Consider the following 17,597-nt stretch of genomic DNA (forward strand, 5'->3'; position numbering starts at 1 on the left):
TTAACTCTTTGTTACCCATGAGGAAACTGAGGCACAAGAGATTATACCTTGGCCCAAATCACCCAGTTAGAAAGTACCTTTAGGAGGATTATAAACCCAGGTGGTTGTGCTCCAGGGCTCCAACCACTTTGTTATAGAGGAAGGATGGGGTGGTCATTGAAGGAGAAGTTTCCGTTTATCTGAATGGCCCATGATGTGAAATTAGCAACTAGGCCAGGAAGTTGGCTGCACCATAGTTAGACCTGTACTTTTCCTTTTTTTCTCATCAGAAGGGTGGCATAGATCACCCATCCTAGGGTGAGCTTGTGTTGCCCACAGTGCCAGCACCTTCCAGACCTTGGGTCAGCTGACAGAACCTAACATGTTATTACCAAGCACACTGCCCAGAAGGCAAACCCATCACTCGCCTGTAGATAGGCCTGTTTCCTAGCTATAAAGTGGAGGGGTGGGTCTGATGCGCTCTAAAGTCTTTTCTACCCTAACAATCCAATCTGGGAGAAATGCACTCTTTCTGGGGGGCAAGAATTTCCCCTCTATTTCTACTCCCATTTTCTTTGCATGCTTATATTGTAGCCTTAGAATTACTCTCTCATGTATGGTTTACTTCACATTTTGATCTGAAACAGGGAAAATCAACCTTGAGTGATCAAAAGAAGGGTTGTGCCTTTAAGCCTGGAGGGGCGCTGCCTCCAAAAGCATAAGCAACTGCCATCCAGGGCTGGAAAAAACATGTTGCAGCTGTGCCAACTCCATCTGAGGCTTTGAATGAAAGCCCATAATGTTTTCAGTTTGTAGCAAAAGCTAGAAGAGCTATTTTTGGCATTCCTTTCTCTACTGGTATATACTGGATAGTCTTAATATTGCTGGTGCTAAAATAAACATAACCAGATGGGGTCATTATATCTAACCTGTTTCGACACTGGATTCAGATACCCCGAAGTCATGATGCATCAGTAGTCTCTGAAGCAGGCTGTACTTTGGGAACTTTGCTATTGTGGTTGGATCAGCCATGACCTCCCAACCTAAACACAGGATGCTGGGCCCTGTTTTAAGGGAGGGCCACAGAATGTGCTTGGGTGGAATCTTTATGTCCCTTTTAGCTGGAGATGGCAAAACTCTGACCATGTGTCTGCCCAAAGAGACATATTACAGAGCCATGCCACGTTGTTCTCCCACCAGAAAGGCCGTATGGCTGAATTAGAGCGTGTGGGGATTAGAAATGCGCTGCTTTCTTGAAATGGCCACCAGCCTTGTACTAAACATGTTTGACCGGGGCCATCTGTCTGCCCGTCAAAAGTGTGGTCCAGTTTCCATCAGATAAGTCTGGAAGAGGACGGTTTTTGTTGTTGTTTTGTTTTTTGCATCCAGCTTGTTAAAAGATATGAAGAACGAGAAAGTTTTAGCTCAGCAAGAAATGTAACAATTTAAAGTTTTTATTCTGTCATGATTCTAAAAGCCTCTAGAATTGTCATCTGCCTTTTCACCTAATTATACGCATATGTACATACTCTTTATATATATACACTTTGTATATATTATGCATATTATGTAAATATATACATATGTACACATATATAATATTCATATAATTATACACGTATACACATACTATATAGTATATGCGAGTATATATTATAGCATGTATTCAGCATGGTATAATATAAAGGTCTCTAAAGACAGGCAGACCTATGAAAACATAGCTCTTATCACCTATTACTGAGTGACCTGGGGTACTATGCTTAACTTCTCTAAAACTTAAATTATCATGTCCAGTCCACTGGAAAATAATAGGGCAAAATGATATAATAGTGACAAAACACATAAGCATTCAGTACAACTAGCTCAATAACTACTTATTTTAAAATAAAGTCCCTCTGGCTCTAGAGGATGGAATAAGGAATACAAGGCCAGCTCTCCTGATGGTTACAGCTGCTTAGCAGTGGCAAAGCCTACCTGTGGAGGAGTGAGCGCAGGGCCAGAGAGAGGATGACTGGAAGCTGGGAGAGGACCATTGAGAAAGGTCGTAAAGTCTTTACAGCAGGAAGTTCAACCACGTCATCTCTGTAGCTTCCAGGATTTTTTTAAATGGCAGGTTACTCTTAAACCTACAAGGCATAGGGGATCATATACTGTCATGAAAGGTATACAGGCGGAAAGGAAAGTGTGCCGTTTAGTAAATCAAATGGTACCTGACATGGGGCAGGCATTCAGATAATGTGTGTTGAATGAGTAGGTGAATGAACATGAAACATCAGTAAAACTGTCCTGTAAGTCCCATGATAGAAATAATCAGCATTACTACCACATCAGCTTCTTGTTTCTCAGGTCACTGGACTGAGGGGAGGGAAATCCAAATAATTTGTCTGCAATTAAAAGGCAGAAGGTCAGGTGCAGTGGCTCATGCCTGTAATCCCAGCACTTTGGGAGGTGGAGGCAGGCTGACCACTTGAGCCCAAGAGTTCAGGCCCAGCCTGAGCAACATAGTGAGACCCCATCTCAAAAGAAAAGTTAAAAAACAAAAAACAAAAAAAAACCTCCACCAACAAAAAACCAGCCAACTGAAATTCCAAAGGTCTCTAGTCCACAGGTGGCACTAGGGGTCACTCAGAAAATAAAAATTAAAAAGAAAATTACTTAGGAAAGTCTAAAGCACTATATTGGGTACTTCATTATATCTGAAGCAAGTTGATGATGGTGCCCAGAAAAACAAGGTAGGGAAGCTGCACATTTATAAAGCGTATTAGAATATTCTTTGATTTATGCACTATTCGAAGCTTGAGCCTGGGAACTAAGGCCATACAACAAAGCAAGGATTAAACTATCAACATGTGGGACCCAGTCAGCTTTCCCAGCAATCATTGAGGCCACTGTGACTTTCCTTATTGTTATAAAATGTAGATATTTAGCCCTACCTCTTAAGACAAGATAGAACTCACCACAACCAGTTTTCACTACTGTAGTATCTAGTGGCTTTCAAATCAGGTAAACTAGGTGTTTTATCCCAGTCTGGCCTCATGCTAACTTCAGGCAAATTACACAACTTTTCTCAGTTTTTAACTTGTTAAGTGGAAATAATAGTCATTGTCCCAGAGGTTATTGAGTAGATAAGATAACATGGAGGAGTGTTTAATAAGTGTTCCCTCCCTCCTTCCCCTGCCTTTTAGACAAAGCAATCATTGGAGTAAAAACTGGCTTTGGCATGATGTGGGAAGAGCAGAGAAGGCGTGGGATGTTTTAAATTATATGTAAAATACATTTTTTTATTTTTTTGAGACGGAGTCTCCCTCTGTCACCCAGGCTGGAGTGCAGTGGCGTGATCTCGGCTCACTGCAGCCTCTGCCTCCAGGTTCCAGCGATTCTCCTGCCTCAGACTCCCGGGTAGCTGGGATTACAGGCACGTGCCACCACACCCAGCTAATTTTTGTATTTTTAGTAGAGATGGGGTTTCCTCATGTTGGCCAGGCTGGTCTCAAACTCCTGACCTCAGGTGATCTGCCCACCTCAGCCTCCCAAAGTGCTGGGTTTACAGGTGTGAGCCACTGCACCAGGCCTAAGATACATGTTTTTTAATTACTTGTGGATTGAAAGGATTATTATTGCCCTCAACAGTGCTGTGAATAACTGGCCAAAATATGGACAAAAGACCGTCCGTAAGTTACTAGCTGGGTGCTAGGCTGGAATCGATTCTTATTTAAGATGGCCTAGTAGGCAGGCCTCCAAATTTGTTTTCATTCCTTTACCTTCTACATCTTGCCTTTGAATACACGTTTAAAATGTTATTTCTCCCAACTCAAACCCCGTCACTGCAATAAAACTTCCTTTACTTTTAGAAGGATCTAAGTTCCAAGAAAAAAAGAAGGAAAAAAAGAGAGTTACTCTCATTTTCCTATTTCATAGACAGTTTTGAAAGCCTTTAGTGTTTGGGTGGGGCCCAGTCACACCCTTTGCAATCTGCAGACCAGTGGTTTAAATTTGTCATCCTTGTGGGCTGTAAAATGAAACCATGTACCAAAGAAAAATAGTGAATGACTCACTCACATGTGATCTTCCAGCGAAGGGAAGGATTCAGTAGGAATGTGCCACAAGGCTGGCAGGTCCCTTCATAATAGGCTCAGGTGGCCTGTTCTGGGATGTGGGTCAATGTTAGGAACCTGAATGGAGGCCGCCAAGTTGTGGTGGGGTCTGAAGGAGAGCTTCAGTTACCGGGGTGAATTCACCACAATGCAACATCCAGCAGACCCAGAGAAACTCTCTCTCAGCACGACAAGAAAGGGAGGATTCCTATTCACCAGGCTCATTAAACCTGTACGCACACACACATGCAAACACACACGTGCAGACACACACACGTGCAGACACACACATATTGCTAATTTATTTATATTAAGAAATACAGTGCCAGGCATGGTGGTTCACACCTGTAATCCCAGCACGTTGGGAGGGTGAGGCAGACGATCGCTTGAGCCTAGGCATTCAAGGCCAGCCTAGGCAATGCAGCGAGGCCTTGTCTAGAAAATTTAAAAAAAAAAAAAATTAGCTGGGCGTGGTGGCACGTACCTGTAGTTCCAGCTACTCGGGAGGCTGAGGCGGCAGGATCTCTTGAGCTAAGTAGTTCGAGGCTGAAGTGAGCTATGACTGTACCACTGCACTCCAGCCTGGGCAACAGGGCAAGACCCTGTCTCCAAAAAAAAAAAAAAGAAAAAAAAAAAAAAAAGAAAGGAAAAATATTATTTAGGCAAAAATCCTCATGCTCCAATATTTGTAGACAGGTTGATTTGGGAAGCCAAACTCTAGCCTAAAAGGTGCTTGGCAACCATGGAACAAGGGAGTATTAGATGGACAGAATTCATCTTCACAGTGGGGAAATATCTGACCCCCGACCACTGGCTTCACCCTTTCCGTAGGACAGGGCTTAGATGAATATTTCAAAGTAAGCATCTGTGCCAGTTTTGCATGGAGCTTGCTCTGCTGATGGACACAAGTTTTCCTTAAACATGCTAATATCTTCCAGCAAGCCTGCTTCAACCCAGGAGCCGTTCTTTCCCATTAAAATGAGTTTGCATATCTTTGTTTTGATGGGTGTTTGCTGATTTTACTAGTCTAATGCTTAGGGAAGTATCTACTTTGCCCGCTTTCCAAATGCTGGGTGAGAGAGGAGAATGCACCACACTGTTACCTCCACATATAGCCTACTAAATAGGACTTGAAATCAGAAGTTCTTGTTCCACATCCCTGCAGTCTGCCATAAGGACATAAGAAACTTTCTAGTTGAGTCAGCACCTGGCTTGCCCATTTCTGGCAGATACAACTGGGCAATTTGTGTTACAGTGTATTATTATCCTTCTGGACATCCTGGAAACCAGTATAGATGTATTCTCAACATACCTACTTTTTCTTTATGAATTCATTGTAAATTATTTCCATGAATTTATGTAATCTTAGTTGAAATAAGTTGAACTTATTTACAACTTATTTTTCCCTTTTGTAACTGCTATTGAGATAGGTCTCATATGTTTAATTCCCAACTATCTTTCAGTTGCTCCAAAACTATGTCTTAAAAACTTCAGATCCCTATCCTAAGCCCTAGTCGTAGAGTTCAGATACTGTTAAGAAGCTGTAGTCACCCACCCATGTTCTTCATAACCCTAGGTTTTTAAGACATCACTAAAAAGTGTATCACCTTCAGCCTTCATCTTTCCATCTGGAACAGTCCTGATGCTTTTAGAGTTATTTGAATCACCCCCAAAATGGGAGCGTGTTTGCATTTTACAGATGTAAAAACTGAGGCATAGTTGCTAATTATTTCGCCCCATCTGTGAGCAGCAAAGGAGCTTTTAAACCCCCAACACAGTCTGAGTCATTGTGGACTTGGTCACAATGTGCAGCTTATGGATTGTAGAAAGGGCTTCAGAGAGAAAGAACAAAGGAATCAAGGAAGGTGAGATAGCAAAGAATGTCGGGCAGAGGCTCTGCTAAGAGCATGGCACTGCGAGGCAGGTGGAAAATGAGGTGGGAAGGTTATAGGTGGAACTTCCAGAAGAAAGGCTTTTCAGCCCTTGGGAGCTGTCATTCTGTGCAGCTAAGAGAGGCCTTAGCAATTGCTAAGAGAGGCTGTAGCAATTGTGTTTTGGGGGGTGCATTTCTTTCCTCTTTCTGCTCCCCCCATCCTTGTGCCAAGAGTTATTGAGGCCTTACCAGGTGCCAGGCTCTATGCTAATAAGCATTTGTGTAGACTGACTTTACACATACTATCTGATATAACAATGAATCGAGGAGTACCATTTTCTGCATTTATTTGTATATTCTATTTAGAAATCTGTTTGGTGGCCAGGCGCAGTGGCTCACACCTGTAATCCCAGCACTTTGGGAGGCCGAGGCGGGCAGATCATGAGGTCAGGAGATCAAGACCATCCTGGCAAACATGGTGAAACCCTGTCTCTACTAAAAATACAAAAATTAGCTGGGCATGGTGGCAGGCGTCTGTGATCCAAGCTACTTGGGAGGCTGAGGCAGGAGAATCACTTGAACCCGGGAGGCGGAGGTTGCAGTGAGCCGAGATCATGCCACTGCACTCCAGCCTGGCAACAGAGCGAGACTGTCTCAAAAAAAAAAGAAAGAAAGAAAGAAAGAAATTTGTTTTGTACTAGTAAAACTTTAATAAATAAACAACAGCTGTCTGTATATAAATGTGTATATTACACTGTGTGCTGTCCAAGTTTCAAAATAAATTGAATAAAAGTACCCAGTGTTCAAGTATGATACCTTCTTTTTCCTTAAGTGAAATATTTCTAGCTCCTTGTGTAATGACTCTCAGTATTTCCAGAAGGCTTTGCTCAAGATGTCTTTCCACTTCTTGATGTGGTAAAAAGGAGTGGAATGTTCATATTAAAGCTTGCCTCTTTTGGAGAGGTGTCCCCCTTCCCTGCCTCCTCACTTGTCATTTATTCCAAAACTACATGAAAGCAAAGGGAAGGCCCTTGCTCTGAAAAGCAGTATCTGCCAGGGTTGTCAGCCAATTAGCATATGAATCATACTTACCAAGGGATATGGGTACATGTGGATCATTCACATGACATGAAACAGGGCCTCCAGACCAAGGACTGGCTAAGATCTGTGAAGGTCTTAAGTTTTGCCCCTGATTTTTTGTTTGTTTGTTTGTTTATCAATATTTGTTTTATTCTCCTTTCTTTTCTTTTCTTTTCTTTCCTTCTTTTTTTTTTTTTTTTTTTTTTTTGTTTTCGACAGAGTCTTGCTCTGTCACCCAGGCTAGAGTGCAGTGGCGTGATCTCAGCTCACTGCAACCTCTGCCTCCTGGGTTCAAGCAATTCTACTTCCTCAGCCTCCCGAGTATCTGGGATTACAGGCGTGCACCACCACGCCTGGCTAATTTTTGTATTTTTAGTAGAGACGGGGTTTCACCATATTGGTCAGGCTGGTCTTGAACTCCTGACCTCGTGATTCGCCTGCCTCGGCCTCCCAAAGTGCTGGGATTACAGGCATGAGTCACCGCGCCCGTCCTCAAGCAATTCTTGTACCTCAGCCTCCCTAGTAGCTGGGATTACAGGCATGCCAGGCTAATTTTGCTATTTTTAGTAGAGGCAGGGTTTCACCGTGTTGGCCAGGCTGGTCTCGAACTCCTGACCTCAGGTGATCTGCCCGCCCCTGCCTCCCACAATGCTGGGATTACAGGCGTGAGCCATCTCACCCTGCCCTATGTGTTAATAACCATTTAAAAATTTCCACCCTGCTAAGACTAGTCCGTGACTCTCTGTGCCTTTCTCCATTCTTCTCTTAACTAACCTCATGTTTTTATTAGCATCTGTAAGACCCATAAGGGGAAACTGAGAGAGAAAATTCAATAAGACTCCCTTGGTTTTGCAGCAGTAAGGTTATATGAGGTGTTTATGTAAAAGGAGCCCCCCCCCCCCCTTTTTTTTTTTTTTTGAGACAGAGTTTCGCTCTTGTTGCCCAGGTTGGAGAGCAGTGGCGCAATCTCAGCTCACTGCAACCTCCGCCTCCCAGGTTCAAGTGATTCTTCTGCCTCAGCCTTCCGAGTAGCTGGGATTACAGGCACCCGCCACCATGCCTGACTAATTGTTTGTATATTTAGTAGAGACGGGGTTTCATCAGGTTGGCCAGGCTGGTCTCAAACTCCTGACCTCAGGTAGTCCACCCACCTCGGCCTCCCAAAGTGCAGAGATTACAGGCGTGAGCCACCGCGTCCAGCCAAAAGGAGCCCCCTTAATCACAGCGTTTACCATGACCTGGGTAACAGGCATATTCAGCAGACAAATACCCCGATGATCATCAAGCCAGTCCTCTGTGGTTTGCATATGAAGCACATCAGCTGCTTCATCAGGGGTATTCTACTTGGCATTTATAAGGGGAGAGGAACAGTCCCCCTTCTCAGGGTAAACAGACCTTAGTGTGGCTTTTGTCCAGTCCACCAGGCTGGATGTTCTCTCAGGAATAACCTCCTATGTGTCTGGACCACCTGAAACATCTGCGATTGCTCCATAGAGAGCTGTGGGTCCTGCATCAACCCAAACATGAATGCTAGCATTTTGAATACTCTGCAGTGTTCGAAACCTAAGACACTGTCACTCACTTAGTTACTCACACAACCCATTTGAATAAAGGTTCTTCAGGAAGTTTATGATACTGATCTACAAAATGAAATAACTTCTTCACACTATACCCTGTGGTTTCAATCGTTTCATGGTTTGCCTTCCACCCCACATAAACTGCCTTCTTGGTTACCAGAGTTCTTAGTGATATTGTCTAATCTCAGCATGATTTTGCCATTGGTGGGTGGCTTTGCAGTTACTGGCTAGAGCGCAGACTCACTGAAATCTGAGCTTGGTCTGACCCAGCACTCTCTTTTAATTTTATTTTATCTGTTACAGATAATAACCAAGGGACTGAATATATCGCCTTTTCTTATTAGTTTGCATTTCCTTATGCTTCCAGTGAGCCAACACCTTGGGGTAGCTTTTACCTTTACTAACAGATCTCAGCATGGTATGCTACTCCGTACCATGAGTGGCTGTTACCAATGCCATGGGTTCTTGTAATCACCCAGGATAGAAATCAAGAGCAATCACCATACATAGCAGCAAAGAGAAAGTTTGTTTTGGCTCATGCACAAGGGAGCCAGTGCTGAGAAAGGAAAAGAAACAGACTGCTATCGGAGGATAGTGTGTGGGTTAGTTTTATAGGGTCTTTCCATGGGAAAGGGTTACATCAGAGCATGTATAGGAGAGGCTTTTCTAGCACTCATGCTTCTTCATGCATCATATGCAACATTAGTATTTTAAATCTCCACCCCATGCATTTTTAGCCTTAAAATGAGGAAGGGTAACTGTAGGTTGGACTTTAAGTCTAGCTATGCATGCAGGGCTCCAGGGAAGTCCCCAGCCCCCTGAAATAGGAACTCGTGGTTAATAAGCTTCTTGGGTCTTTTGTTATTAATTGGCTGAGAGTTAGATAAGTTAAAGCTTGAGTGAATGGCTTCTATCATTTTCTTCCAGGCCATTTTATTTATTTTTATTTTATTTATTTATTTATTTATTTATTTATTGAGACAGAGTCTCACTCTGTTGCCCAGGCTGGAGTGCAGTGGTGCAATCTTGGTTCACTGCAGCCTCCACTTCTGGGGGTTCACATGATTCTCCTGCCTCAGCCTCCTGAGTAGCTGGGATTACAGGCACTCACCACCATGCCCAGCTTAATTTTTATATTTTTATTAGAGATAGGGTTTCACCATGTTGGCCAGGCTGATCTCAAACTCCTGACCTCAGGTGATCTACCCACCTCAGCCTCCCAAAGTGCTGGAATTACAGGCGTGAGCCACCATGCCTGGCCCAGACCATTTAAAAATAGGGAACCCACCAGCCTGCCTATCTCATGACCATGTGGCCACCCAGGAATCAAAGTTTCTCATCCCCAACCCTTTTGTTCTTTCTCTTCCCAAACCACATATTTCTGCAAGCCAGGGCCATTCTAGCAAATCCCACTTCTGACACCAATTGTATAGGAAAACAAACTATTTTTCCTTATACTTTAACACTTTTTCACTTCTAGCACCAGATGTGATGGGTGAGGGGGTGGGGTGGGGGTTCCCACATCAAGCATCAAGCAGTTCTTCAGTTCTCTTTGGACACCAACTGGGTGTGCCACAATTTAACTAAATTCTGACACTATCAAGTTAGCACAGACCCCACTGGTTAAGGCAGGGGTGTCCAATCTTTCGGCTTCCCTGGGCCACATTGGAAGAAGAATAATTGTCTTGGACCACACATAAAATACACTAACACTAACAATAGCTCATGAGAAAAAAAAATTGCAAAAAATCTCATAATGTTTTAATAAAGTTTATGAATTTGTGTTGAGCCAGATTCAAAGCTGTCCTGGGCCACATGTGGCCCACGAGCCACAGGTTGGACAAGCTTGGGTTAAGGGATCAGTCCCACAGTCCTCCACCACTTCAGATGCCAGTGTCAAGTCCAGCTTGTCACCTGTGCTTCTGATGGAATGGCTAGAAATCAGAGGTTCCCATGACCCCCTGTTGACTTTCATCATTTGCTAGAATGGCTCACAGGACTCAGGAAAACAGTTTACTTACTGGATTATCAGTTTATGATAAAGAGCTACAGATCAGGAACAGCCAAATGGAAGAATGCATAGGGTGGGGCACGTGGGGAGGGGCTCACAGCTTCCACGGCCTCTCCAGGCGCACGTCTTCCCAGCACCTCCATATGTTCACTAACCTGGAAGCTCTTCAACCCCTCCACTCCCTATTTCCCACTGTCCTTTGGGTTTTTATGGAGTCTTTGTTACATAGGCATGATTGATCCAATCATTGGCCATTGGTGATGAAATCAATCTCCAGCCCTTCTCTCCTCCCCTGAGGTGAGAGGTTGGGCTGAAAATTCCAACTCTTTAATCACAGAGTTTGTTTACCAGGGCAACCAGCCCCCCATCCTATAGTTATCTGGGGGCTTTCCAGACGTCCCCTCATTAACATGAACTCAGGTGCGGTTAACCGGGCTTGTTATGAATAACAAAAGATGCTCCTTTCACCCTTATTGTTCTTATCGCTTACAAAATTCCAAGGGATTTAGGAGTTATGTACCAGGAACAGGAGGAGAACAGGTGTATATCCCTTACTCTAAGTCACAATATTATATGGCCTGACTGCATCTTCATCTCATGCCACTCTTGCCCTTGTTCACAATGCTTTTGTCCATCCTTCAAACACAGTAAGCCAATTTCTGCTGCAGGGCCTTTGCACTGACTGCTCCAGCTACCTGAAAGAGTTCTCCTTCAGAATTTTGAACGGCTAGCCCCTTCCCTTCATTCAGGTCTTAGTTCAGATGTCAACTCAGAGATGCCTTCCGGATCGCCCTGCCCAGGCCAGCTTCTTCCTGGTAACCTGATCCTGTCATCCTCCATGTCAGGGGTCAGCAAATGTTTTCTGTGAAGGGCCAGATAATAAATATTCTTAGCTTCCTGGGCCACATGGTCTCTGTCACAACTACTCATTTCTGCTGTTGTAGCTTGAAAGTAGCCACAGACAAAATATAAACAAACACGTGTGACTGTTCCAATAAGTCTTCGAAGTTTGAATTTTGTACAATTTTCACATGTAATAAAATATCCCTTATTTGATTTTCTGGTCAATTATTTAAAAATATAAAGACATTCTTGGCTTGTAGGTTGTACAAAAGCAGGATTTCACCCATGAGCTACTGTGGTTTGCCGACCCTTGCTCTGTGCTATCATCCTGTTATATTTTCATCATCTCGCCGAAATCAGAAATTATCTTATTTATTCGTTCTAAAATTTGTTGTTGGTGGCAAAGAGGTTGAATAGAAGTTATAAGTAAGAGTTAAAAATATATTTTAAAATTGTCAAAGGGTTTTAGCAGCCTATGCTGGGCCTGTTAATATCAGAACTAATTAGAGTTAGCCAAGTTACAATGCATCTCTACAGTGGATATCAATACTGTCACCAAGTCAACTGTCTCTGGAGTCAGAAAAGGCCTGGTTGATGTATATCTGGCATTTAGAAAGTAAAGTTGGGCTGGGCGCGGTGGTTCACGCCTGTAATCCCAACACTTTGGGAGGCCGAGGCGGGCAGATCACCTGACGTCGGGAGTTCGAGACCAGCCTGACCAACATGGAGAAACCCTGTCTCTACTAAAAATACAAAATTAGCCAGGCATGGCGGCACATGCTTGTAATCCCAGCTACTCGGGAGGCTGAGGCAGGCGAATCACTTGAACCCGGGAGGCGGAGGTTGCAGTGAGCCAAGATCGTGCCATTGCACTCCAGCCTGGGCAACGAGAGTGAAACTCTGTCTCAAAAAAAAAAAAAAAAAAAAAAAAAAAAGAGAAATCAGAGGGCCAGGTGTGATGGCTCATGCCTGTAGTCCCAGCACTTTGGGAGGCTGAGGTGGGCAGATCACTTGAGGTCAGAAGTTCAAGACCAGCCTGGCCAATATGGTGAAATCCTGTCTGTACTAAAAATACAAAAATTAGCCGGGTATGGTGATACATGCCTGTAATCCATCTGTAATCCATCTACCAGGGAGGCTGAGACAGAAGACTCGCTTGAACCTGGGAGGCAGAGGTTGCAGTGAGCCAAGATTGCACCGCTGCACTCTAGCCTGGGCAACAGAGCAACACTCTGCCTCAAAAAAAAAAAAAAAAAAAAAAAAAAGGAAAGAGAAGTCAGAATGAATCCTTTTTTTTTTAATGAAATAAGGGGAGCCAAGTAATGATTTATATTGTGGAAAGAGCTTGAAAATTATGTTTGTAAAAGCTATTTGTCAAAAGATAAAGATGTCTAGTTATGTAAAAAATAAAATAAAATAAATAAATGTGTCGTCTATCTCTCCTGGTAGACTATAAATGCCTTGACAGCAGGTTCATTGTCTTATCCACTGCATTATCTCTATCAGTGCCTGGAGAGGTGCTGTGAGAGGTCATGTAGGAACATTTGGTGATTGAATGAGTAAATCTACACAGTCCATGAGTCACTACTTCTGATAAAGTCTTCCTTCCAGACATCCCCCATATATCATATTCCAGTGCCACACCCTGCCCAAGCTTTTGCCTCTACCCATCTGTTCCTGTAGCTGTCTCTCAAGCCTTCTTAACTCCTTCTCTCTCACTCCAGTCTCTCTCTTTCCAGTTTACCCTATAGTAAAGTACAGTACCTTGTTAAAGCTTTTCTTTTATTATGGCATTTGTCTGCAAATAACAAAAAACTTTCCACAGTATTCCCATGACCTATGGTATTCTGTAGCCAGACTCCTCAGCCGGCCGTGCAAGGCCCATACCATTCAGTTCACTTTGGCTTTTCCAACCTTGTTTCTGAGCCTTCCCTGGAATGAGCCCTCTGCTGTCACTCCCGCATTTCCTCATTATTCCTGAAACTGCAGCTCATTCCCACCTCTGTACCTTTGCTCAGGGTGTGTCCCAGGACTAGTTGGTTCTCCCCTTAGTTGAACCCCCAGGTAATAGGGGGTAAGTCGGCAATGAATGATGGGAAACAGGAAGAATGAAACTGGAAGGTAAAAAGCAAATGTGATCAAACAAGGCCTAAATGGTAATCAGGTGGGTTAAGAAGGACTTAGTTATCATCAAAAGGCACACTGCTTGGTCAGATTATCTAGACCAGTGCTTTTCAAACTACTGTGCAGGCAAATGTTTGGGGAATCTTGTAAAAATGCAGATTCTGGGAGTAGGTGTGGGGTAGGGACCTGAGATTCTGCTTTTTTTCTATCTCTCTCTTTTGAGACAGTGTCTCACTCTGTCACCCAGACTGGAGTGCAGTGGCATGATCTTGGCTCGCTGCAACCTCCACCTCCCAGGCTCAAGTGATTCTCCTGCCTCAGCCTCCCAAGTATCTGGAATTACAGGCGTGTGCCACTACCCCCCAGCTAATTTTTATATTTTTAGTAGAGATGGGGTTTCACCATGTGGGCCAGGCTGGTCTCAAACTCCTGACCTCAAATGATCCACCTGCCTCAGCCTCCTAAAGTGCTGGGATTACAGGCGTGAGCCACCACGCCCAGCCAGGTTCTGCATTTTTAACAAGTTCCCAGGAATGCATGTACTCCTGGTTCTAGGATGACTCTTTGAGTATCAAGGATCTAACTAAACTCTGAGAAGAGGAGCCTTATCCAGGTGGTTCGCACCTGTAGTCCCAGTGACTCGGGAGGCTGAGGCAGGAGGATCGCTTGAGTCCAGGAGTTCGAGGCTGCAGAGGGCTATGATTGCACCACTGCACTCCAGCCTGGACAATGGAGGGAGACCCTGACTCAAAAAAACAAGAAAAGAGAAGGTGCCTTGTTTATATGACTTAGATATGGGAATAGGAGGTGGTGGGCTGCCATTAGGGGACTGTTTATGTGTCATGAGAACTCCACAAGAGTCCTAGACTACAGTGAAGACATTTCTTGCATTCTGAACAACTGAAAAAAATGTGTGATGATGATGAAAGAGGGGGTGCTGAAAACCGAGGACAAAGTTGAGTGTATAAGCCTGCAGCTTAAAGGGAAGAAAATCTTTAATCCTAGAATGGTGGCGGTGAAAATCGCCACTGGGAAACGAAAAGATTCTAATGTTGGTTGGGCTGCCGGCCTGTCATTACACACACACAAACACACTCACACAGATGCACACACAGAGGGGAGGCTGGTATGCTGTACTTTCCTCTGATGCAGTTGGATTATCTCTTTTCTCAAAGGGGGAACCTCTTCTGATCTGCTGTAACATTCAGTTCAGAATCTGTGTCCAGCTTGAGTACAAGTATTGGTACTTAACCTAACAAAACAATAGGAATCCTTTCTGTAGTGTGTATCTCCAAACAGAAGAACAGGTGGGAAAATATTTTACCAGTGTGATAAAGTTGACTTTTTTTAACAGTTTCTCTAATTAGCCCATTCCTTGTATCTTTGGCTAATCAGTAACTGGCCTTTTGATTAAGTTGGGTGTCATTTCCTCATGGCTTAGCTTCATGCAAACTGCAAGTTATCCTGATTAATGATTTTAATGCCATTTCCTTCATCACAGTAATTTCCCCTCTGCTTTTATCACAGAAGAACTTCTGCTTGGGTGGCTGAACTCTGATCTTGACCTAGAGTCATGGCCATGGTAAGTTGTGAAATACCTCAACCCTATCTGGTGCCAGCTGCCAACAGGTACAGAATGTGGGCTCAGCAACTGTTAGCTTAAACAAAGCATTGTTTACTCAACAGAGGGGAAGGAGGAGGACATGAAAAGGCAGGTCTATTTCTAAACATCATTTAAATTTCTTTTAGGGGTGGTAAGCAACTTGACCTTGAAAACTGATTCAAAGAGAGAATTCTTTGAATTCTTTTAACATCCTGAGAATATAGAAACAAGTTGTAATTTTCTGTCTGCAGAAGCGCTACATGTTTATTTTAGAACATTTAAAAAGGAAAAACTAAAAATTCTTTAGGTTCTACCACCTGAAGAGGACTGCTATCGATACTCTGAGGTAGCCACATCATTTCAGGCTCATCAAGAGGGGTGTTTCTTAACAATATGGGTGTGTTGGCTGCCTCCTGCTTTAGACAGTAATCAGACACCTTGGACCTTGGTTATTTGCTCTTTGGAACAAGCATCGAATTGAATCCCTTTGAGAGTTCTGTAAAGTTCAGCTCTGAGGTGGAAGCTGAGCCTCTTAGCTGAAAACATGGCTGTACCTAAGGCTGGACATCTGCTCTCCTTCTCTTGCCCAAATACGGTTTCTGAATAGACAAGTAATTCTGATCCGTGGTCTTCTGGAGGAAGCAATAATAGAAGTAGAAATCTTATACCTAGAGAGGAACTGGAGAGCCTGACAGCTTGAGATGCCTTCCTTTAGGAAGATGGGTGTGTAAAGTAAACTATCCTGAACAAAGAGTAATATACTCTTAATTTCTTTTGCATTAGATATTCCAGAATTTTCTTCATGATCTCTGACAGTCAAAGGCTTATTCATGTGTGCCCCAAATCTCTCATGCTTTAGTTTAAAATCATTTTCTTGCTGATTGATTCTCCCTGGCCATGGAGAATTTTTTTAAAAATATTTACGTATTTTTATTTTTTATAGAGATGAGGGGCTCGCTATGTTGCCCAAGCTGGTCTCAAACTCCTGGCCTCAAGCGATCCTCCCACCTTGGCCTCCCAAAGTTCTGGGATTACAGGCATGAGCCACTGTGCCTAGCCAACGTGGAGAATATTTATTCAGAAATGCTTATGGTGCCCCTACTTTGTGGCAGATGTGGGACTAGGACTCAGAATTAATGAGATGCTCTTCCTGTCTTCAGCAGGCTCACAGCTTTCCTACAAATGAAGACTGTAATCAAGTGGCCCTTTGTGTGCTTTCCACTCGGAGAAAATTACCTCAGTTGCTCTCATCTTTCCTCCTAAAACCTGTTTTTCTATCATGACTATTATTTATTGACAGATAAAGGACATTTTAAAAAGAAAATCACACTATACAGTCGCAACATTGGAAACACCAACTATTTGCCATTTTTTAATTTTAGACCTTACTCATATGTATAATGATTTTTAAATAAGAGTAATAAGAGCATAAATAATAGTTTTGTAGCTTTCCTTGTACCCCACTTAGTATAGGAAAATAGGAAACAAGTTATTCACTCTGATCTTATGCTTTATCTCTTCTCTATGCTAATGAGATAATGTAATGTTTATATTACATTTCATATCATTAAAATTATTTACTCTAGTGGTTATGAGTGTTTTAATTTTCTTCTTAATTTATTTTTATTTTTATTTTTTTTGAGACAGAGTCTCAATCTGTTGCCCAGGCTGGAGAGCAGTGGCGCGATCTTGGCTCACTACCACCTCCGTCGTAGGTTTAAGCGGTTCCCCTGCCTCAGCCTCCTGAGTAGCTGGGATTACAGGCGCTCGCCACCACGCCTGACTAATTTTTTGTATTTTTGGTAGAGACAGGGTTTCACTGTGTTGGCCAGGCTGGTCTCGAACTCCTGACCTCATGATCTGCCCGCCTCGGCCTCCCAAAGTGCTGGGATTACGGGCGTGAGCCACCGCGCCCAGCTTTCTTCTTAATTTTTAAAAAATTTTCCAAATTCTCTATAATATTTTTTAAATCATTGTATTCAAGATTTTAAAACATGTTTTATGGAGGTATAATTGGCATATAGTGAAATGCACATCCTTTAAGGTTACTGGTCGTTAAGTTTTGACAAATACATATATATACCCACATAACCTACTCTCATATCAAGGTAGGACATTTTATCATTCCTAGAAGCTCCTCCATGCCCGTTTCATATTAACTCCCCTTCCCACCCTCCACTCCACACAAGAAATGCAACTGCTGTTCTGAGTGTTATCATAAGTTAGTTTTGCCTGTTCTAGAACATCCTATATATTGAATCATAGAGTAGGTACTCTTTTGTGTCTGACTTCTTTTTCTGGGCATTATATTCTTTTGCAATTCATCCGTATTGTTGCATCAGTAGTTTTGTTCCTCCATTCCTTTTTATTGTTCATTAGTATTCCATTGTATTGTACTCTGATCTTTTTGGCA

General features: G+C 43.1%; 1 protein-coding gene across 11 annotated transcripts in view; it reads left to right on the forward strand.

Annotated features, from left to right (window-relative positions):
* ANXA4 (annexin A4) overlaps positions 1-17,597 on the forward strand; it is a 183,305-nt gene that overhangs the window by 122,604 nt on the left and 43,104 nt on the right. For all 11 annotated transcript variants that reach the window (XM_047444083.1, XM_017003943.2, XM_024452835.2 and 8 more), the window contains one exon: positions 15,109-15,163. In XM_047444083.1, the coding sequence (XP_047300039.1) occupies positions 15,155-15,163 (9 nt within the window). In that variant the 5' untranslated portion in view covers positions 15,109-15,154. The remainder of the gene's footprint in view (positions 1-15,108; positions 15,164-17,597) is intronic.

Source organism: Homo sapiens, chromosome 2 (assembly GCF_000001405.40).
Source record: "Homo sapiens chromosome 2, GRCh38.p14 Primary Assembly".
NCBI lineage: Eukaryota > Metazoa > Chordata > Mammalia > Primates > Hominidae > Homo > Homo sapiens.